Raw genomic sequence first — 8,363 nt, forward strand, 5'->3', positions numbered from 1 at the left:
TTTCTGCTCAGGGTCAAAATGACTTTGGAGTGCAGCAAAAAACAGGAATATAAAATAAAATGTTAAAATCACAAGGAAAAAATAAGCCTTTCCAAATTTGCCCTGTCTCTTATCTATCAGACTCAGCCCAAAAGCAAATTGTTGGCAGATGTTTTGTGATATGATTTTTTTTGTGACATATAAAAACGAAAAGGAATAGATATGAATGCATTGAAGAGAGATCAAAATGATACAATTTGAGCAAGACATAAATTAGTCATATTAAGCTCAATGCCTTATGAAAAATTTTCAGTGGTATTATATGTTATCAGACAAAAGGGCCCATATGAATGTAACAATTTTTAAATATACATCTTTTAATATCTGAAGAAAATGATAATGCAAACAATACAATCAAATATTATGTAAGATTTTTGGTAGTATTTTTAAATAAATATTTGATGTTTTTAAAAAGATGTTAAACAGATTGGTTGCCCATTATATTACACTACTCGTTTAATGAAAAGGCATGGTACACTTACTATATGAAATTTATGGCCGAAGATTACATTTACTCTAAAAATGATTTATGGAGAGTAGCAATTGATACAGAATTTTAAAATGATGTTACAAATTTTCTGTGTGTCTGATTGTAATTCATATACATTAGTGAGTGGAAACAGCCATTATTAAATCTTCTACAGTTGAAATCATTCATTTAAGTTATTGTGGTTTAAAAATTCACCAGTATTAGGCCTGATTTGTGGATAAATAAAGAGGAGGCCCTATTCCTGAATAGCTCAAAGTACTGTGAAAGAGAAGAATAAGTAGAAGATGAAAATGCTCTCTGAACTCGTACGCATGTACAAAGTAACAGCCCAGCACAGGAAGAAATGCTCAATTTCAATCCTCCGTGCTCGTGGCTATCAAGGTTATAAGTGATCAGGCTTATAAGTGATCAGGTTATAAGTGATCAAGAGATATAGCTTTTGTTTATCCTTCCAGCTTCATTATGTTACACACACTCACAGAATTCTAGCCTTTGTTATTCTATGAATTACTAGAATTACTAGGATTGTTCCCTCTACTCAAAACTTTTGTACTTGTTATTCCTTTATACTTAAAGAAATTATTTCTGGTTGTTTTTATAAGTAACTCCTTATATATATAAGCAACTCACTGTTGCTGTCAATCCTTTAGGACTGTTTTCTCCACCTCTGTTTTTGTTATTGTTTATCTAGTAATTTTTAATTCATTTGTTTCTTCACATGATTGGTGTTTGTCTTTCTTGCTAGAATAGATGCTCCATGAAGGCAAATAATGCTTTTGCATTTTTCCTATGCTATTGTAAATTCCTAGCATAGTACCTAGCTACCCTGGTTTCCTCATATGTAAAATGGGGATAGATTATAATATGACTTGGTGAGGTAAGTTTATAAATTAAATAAGAATATGCATCTAATATTTTTAAGAAAATAATAAAATCATTATTAATTATTTTAGTGCAGTTTATGTAGTGGCAGCCAAAAAAATGTTGCTTATGTATATATTTTACACCTAAATGTTTATGCTGATTATTTTCTACATGCTACAAGTGTTTTACTACAGAAGAAATAAATATTGTGTTTAAAATACATTAATATAAGAGTATAAAGTTTAACTTTTTATATGTAATGGTTACCAATAATATAATTCATGGTAAACATATACAATAATAATTATGCATTATGTTGGTGCTATTGATAAATTATATACTCATTCAAGTATTAGATGTGTCTCTTTATGATTTAAATGAATTTTATATTAAATATGGCCACATCAGCAATACAATGGGTAAAATAAGCACATAATCTCTCTGATTCTGTGTGAGTCAGTTGTGTGTGAATCTGTTTCAAATTAATACGATAATCATATGTAAGAATAAAATTGCATCTTAAAAGTAACTTAAAATGTTAAGTAAAGATATGCTATTTTTAAGTGTATATAAATTTATAAAGTTATTTTTTCTTTTACTAAATTTTATATCAAATTTATAGGACGTTCAACTATATGTATATCTGAACATACACTGTCAAAATCAAATACAATATAGAGATAAATATCTAAATTTAAAATGTTTTATTTTGGAAGTAAGAATTGCAGTTTGAGGCATACACAAAGGATGTGTGGTCTTCGGTATGTCCAAAGCACAAAGGGAAGTTTGGGAGGTTTATTAGTAGAGAAATAGTAAGTTTTTTTATTTTATTTTATTTTTATTTATTATTATTATACTTTAAGTTTTAGGGTACATGTGCACAATGTGCAGGTTAGTTACTTATGTATACATGTGCCATGCTGGTGTGCTGCACCCATTAACTAGTCATTTAGCATTAGGTATATCTCCTAATGCTATCCCTCCCCCCTCCCCCTACCCCACAACAGTCCCCAGAGTGTGATGTTCCCCTTCCGGTGTCCATGTGTTCTCATTGTTCAATTCCCACCTATGAGTGAGAATATGCGGTGTTTGGTTTTTTGTCCTTGCGATAGTTTACTGAGAATGATGATTTCCAATTTCATCCATGTCCCTACAAAGGACATGAGCTCATCATTTTTATGGCTGCATAGTATTCCATGGTGTATATGTGCCACATTTTCTTAATCCAGTCTATCATTGTTGGACATTTGGGTTGGTTCCAAGTCTTTCCTATTGTGAATAGTGCTGCAATAAACATATGTGTGCATGTGTCTTTATAGCAGCATGATTTATAGTCCTTTGGGTATATACCCAGTAATGGGATGGCTGGGTCAAATGGTAAGAGAAATACTAAGTTTTGTTGTGGAAGTAAGTTTCTTGGCACCAGAGAAGATTTTGGGAGCTTGCAGGCTTTGATTGGTGAGTGATACTGGCAGGTAAAACTGGTCTTAGGATTACAGCAGATGATTTTAGCAGCTGAACTTGTAGAGTATTTAACTCTTGGAGCAGATGCTATGTGCTCTGAATGATTTTCTCCCGGCTCCTTGACCCTGATTCTCTGATTTAGTTGGATAGGACAAGAATGATTCAATTCATATAATCAATTTTCCATATATATATATATATATATAATACCAACCCACCCACCCACACACACACACATCTATGTGTTATGAGTTAATATTTTCACAAAAATGTAAAAGAAATTGAGTTTGTAGTATAATTTTTTTATCTGCTTTTATCACTTCATCATCATCAGTAAGGAGTCATGCCTTTGGAAAAAAACTCTAATAATTGCTTTATAATTTCTTTAAACAAAAAAACAGTGACAGGTGGATTTTATGGCTACTACATATAAAGAAACTTATGTACTCACATTGCACTCAAATAAGATGGGGGGCTCACTGCCAATTGTTTCTAAAACTATTATATTAAATTACAGCATTGACCAAGAAAAAAAGATGAAATAGTCAATTTAGCCAACAGATCTGTTAAACTGCCTTCCCCAAACCAAAAAGTAAAACCGAATCCCAAAGTACTTCTACATGTACTTATTTCTTTTTATTACTCAGAGAAAGTGATTTTATTTCCTGTAGCTTAACACTAATCCCTTCACTTCTGATTTCTATTCCAGCTGCTTCAATTTCTTCAGGACTAGGAATTTTTTCCTCTTTCTCACATACATTCAATCTCTGTCTACTAATTAATTTCCCATAATCTCACAGCATTTTAATCTCTCCTATCTTAATAGTCTTTGTGTTAAACTCTGAGCCTCTACACACTAAGTCTCTTTTTTCACTGCTACACAACTGTGCAAAAAAAAAAAAAAATGCAGCTCACGTATGTCACCATAAGGCACCATCAATTTACTCTGCCAAACCAAACTCGCTTCTGACTACATTTAAAAATATCTTTCCAAGATTGTAAATTAATTGTAAAATATAGTTCTCTCTTGCAACTTCATTTGATAACAGTTGAATGCTACTTTCTTTATGATTATTTCTATTTCAGAGGTAATACACGACAGTGATTAAAAGCATAGGTACTAGTTTTGTGAAATTGGATAAGTGGTTTAAAATGTCCGTGTCTTAATTTCCTTTTATGTTTAGTGTGTTAGATTTGTTAATACATGTAAAATACAAAGACAGTTAATAAATGCTCAACAAGGCCGGGCGCAGTGGCTCACGCCTGTAATCCCAGCACTTTGGGAGGCCGAGGCGGGCGGATCACAAGGTCAGGAGATCGAAACCATCCTGGCCAACACGGTGAAACCCCATCTACACTAAAAATACAAAAAATTAGCCAGGTGTGGCGGCGGGCGCCTGTAGTCCCAGCTGCTCCCGGAGGCTGAGGCAGGAGAATGGCGTGAACTGGGGAGGCGGAGGTTGCAATGAGCCGAGATCGTGCACTCCAGCCTGCGCGACAGAGCGAGACTCCATTTAAAAAATAAATAAATAAAAAATAAATGCTCAACAAATACTAAGCATTTTTATACTGGGTATGATTATTCACTCTTCTGGTCATTGTTTCTCACACCACTATCTGTATGCTAATTTTACTTAAATTTATGCAGCAAATCAATTTTATGCATATAATAATCTCAAATTCAACCCCAACAATATTTTGCTTATACAATTGCCTTTCAATTTAATCATCATACTTTGTTTTCTATCTCTATGAGGAAGTTCATCCTTGACTGATCTAACTTTGCCAGGAGTTCAGAATGCACTTATTTTCTTTTATTTTTACTTTGCTTTTCTTTTAGTTCACATACATTTAGTAATGTTTCATCTCTACTATAATTCCTAAAAGTTTGTCATACTCTATCTCATGTCTATCATGATGTTACCACAAAGAATCCCATTTGTAAAATATCATCTTTCAACTTTTACCTATATTATTTTAATAGTTTCCAAATGGAGACTTTTATTTAATAAAAGGGAAATCAAATCAGGTCACTAAAATTACAGCAGAACAAACCCTCTGTAGCACAGTGAGCAAGGTTCTTCATAAGTTACTTGTTTAGCTCCTTGCAATTTGGGCTGCAGCCATAATAATCAACATAAAGCACGTCAAACACATCATGCTATTTTATTCTTTGGTGCTTTTTCTTACTGTAGCAGGAATGTCCTTCTCATCGTTCAAAAATCCTCCTGTTAAGAAGTTTTATGGCTTTTCCATCTACCAATGGAAATGAAAACTTATTCCTTGAGTGTCCCAAGTCCCCTTTGAATACATCGAGCACAGTCCTTCAATCTTTGTGTGGCATTATATGTTTATGCAGATTTTACAAACTTAGTGAAAAGGACTATGACTCATTAGTCTTGTCTGTTTGAATAGCTAATCATGTCTGGCTCATCTTCCTCCTCTGTATCAAATTCACATTGATAATGCCATAAATAACATTGATTAAGTGTGAGGTAATATAACTAGGTTTGTTAAATAATAATGGTATTAATTTGCTGAATTCAATTCTGTAAAGTAATTGAACTTCTTTATTTACAACGTGCTGTACTGATTCTTTCTGATATACAAAGTCCACAAATAAGAGAGCCAAAGCATTTTCCTGCCTTCAAGGAAGTAGTATTGTACACACACCTGGAAGACAAAGTAAGTAATACCATGTAGATGTAAATAAACTATAAGACTAATTTCACCGTAGAGCATTTTGTTGGTTTTGATAAATAAAACATATTTGGTCTGAGGTTTAAAGTGCACACAGAAATATTAAAGAATGACAAATTCTTCTGCATTGCAACTTGAAAGGTCAAATAAATAAAAGCAAATACAAATAAAAAGTTCCAAGGGTTTTTGTCATTGGTTCTGTTTATGTGATGGATTACGTCTATTGATTTGCGTATGTTGAACCAGCCTTGCATCCCAGGGATGAAGCCAACTTGATTGTGGTCAATAAGCTTTTATTGTGCTGCTGGATTTGGTTTGCAAGTATTTTATTGAGGACTTTCACATGGATGTTCATCAGGGATATTGGCCTGAAATTTTCTTTTTTTGTTGTGTCTCTGCCAGGTTTTGGTATCAGGATGATGCTGGCCTCATAAAATGAGTTAGGGAGGAGTCCCTCTTTTTCTACTGTTTGGAATAGTTTCAGAAGGAATGGTACCAGCTCCTCTTTGTACCTCTGTTAGAATTCGGCTGTGAATCTGTCTGGTTCTGGGCTTTTTTGGTTGGTAGGCTGTTAATTAATGCCTCAATTTCATAACTTGTTATTGGTCTATTTGAAGAAAGGGCCTTGAATAAAATTCAACACCCCTTCATGCTAAAAACTCTCAATAAACTAGGTATCGATGAAATGTATCTCAGAATAATAAGTGCTATTCATGACAAACCCACAACCAATATCATACTGAATGGGCAAGAGCTGGAAGCATTCCCTTTGAAAATCAGCACAAGACAAGGATGCCCTCTCTCACCACTCCTAGTCAACATAGTATTGGAAGTTCTGGCCAGGGCAATCAGGCAAGAGAGAGAAATAAAGTGTATTCAAATAGGAAGAGAGGAATTCAAATTGTTTATGTTTGCAGTTTACATGATTGTATATTTAGAAAACCCCATCGTCTCAGCCCAAAATCTCCTTATGCTAATAAGCAACTTCAGCCAAGTCTCAGGATACAAACTAGATGTGCAAAAATCACAAGCATTCCTATACAACAATAATAGACAAACAGAGAGCCAAATCATGAGTGGACTCCCATTCACAATTGCTACATAGAGAATCAAATACCTAGGAAATACAACTTACAAGAGATGTGAAGGACCTCTTCAAGGAGAACTACAAACCACTGCTCAAGGAAATAAGAGAGGACACAAACAAATGGAAAAAAACATTCCATGCTCATGGGTAGGAAGAATCAATATGATGAAAATGGCCATACTGCCCAAAATAATTTATAGATTCAAAGCTGGATAGCTACCATCAAGCTACCATTGACTTTCTTCACAGAATTAGAAAACAAAACTACTTTAAATTTTATATGGAACCAAAAAAGAGCCCCTATAGCAAAGACAATCCTAAGCAAAAAGGACAAAGCTGGAGGCATCACGGGACCTGACTTCAAACTATACTGCAAGGCTACAGTAACCAAAACAGCATGGTACTGGTACCAAAACAGCATGGTAGTGGTACCAAAACCGATATATAGACCAATGGAACAGAACAGAGGTCTCAGAAAAAATGCCACACGTCTACAACCATCTGATCTTTGACAAACCTGACAAAAACAAGCAATAGGGAAAGGATTCCCTATTTAATAAATGGTGTTCAAAAACTGGCTAGCCACATGCAGAAAACTGAAACTGGACCCCTTCATTACACAAAAATTTACTAAAGGTAGATTAAAGACTTCAATGTAAGACCTAAAACCATAAAAACCTTAGAAGAAAACCTGGGCAATACCATTCAAGACATAGGCATGGGCAAAGACTTCATGACTAAAACACCAAAAGCAATGGCAACAAAAGTCAAAATTGACAAATGGGATCTAATTAAACTAAAGAGCTTCTGCACAGCAAATGAAACTATCATCAGAGTGAACAGGCAACCTAGAGAATGGAAGAAAATTTTTGCAATCTATCCATCTGACAAGGGGCTAATATCCAGAATCTACAAGTAACTTAAATTTACAAGAAAAAACAACCGATCAAAAAGTGGATGAGGGATATGAACAGACACTTCTCAAAAGAAGACATTTATATGGCCAACAAACATATGAAAAAAAGCTCATCATTACTGGTCATTAGAGAAATGCAAATCAAAATCACGAGATATGATCTCATGTCAGTTAGAATGGCGATCATTAAGAAGTCAGGAAACAACAGATGCTGGAGAGGACGTGGAGAAATAGGAACGCTTTTACACTGTTGGTGGGAGTATAAATTAGTTCAACTATTGTGGAAGACAGTGTGGCGATTCCTCAAGGATCGAGAACCAGAAATACCATTTGACCTAGCGATCTCATTGCTGAGTACATACCCAAAGGATTATAAATCATTCTACTATAAAGACATACACACACATATGTTTTCTGTTGCAGTGTTCACAATAGCAAAGACATGGAACCAACCCAAATGCCCATCAATGATAGACTGTATAACGAAAATGTGTCACATATACACCATGGAATACTATGCAGCTATAAAAAATAATGAGTTCATGTCCTTTTCAGTGACATGGATGAAGGTGGAAACCATCATTCTCAGCAAACTAACGCAGGAACAGAGAACCAAATGCCACATGTTCTCACTCATAAATGGGAGTCGAACAATGAGAAAACATGGACACAGGCAGGGGAACATCACACACCGGGTCTTGTCAGGGGGTGGGAGGCAATGGAAAGGATAGCATTAGGAGAAATACCTAATGTAGATGACGGGTTGATGGGTGCAGCAAACCACCATGGCCTGTGTATACATA

This window comes from Homo sapiens, chromosome 13, assembly GCF_000001405.40.
Source record: "Homo sapiens chromosome 13, GRCh38.p14 Primary Assembly".
Lineage (NCBI taxonomy): Eukaryota > Metazoa > Chordata > Mammalia > Primates > Hominidae > Homo > Homo sapiens.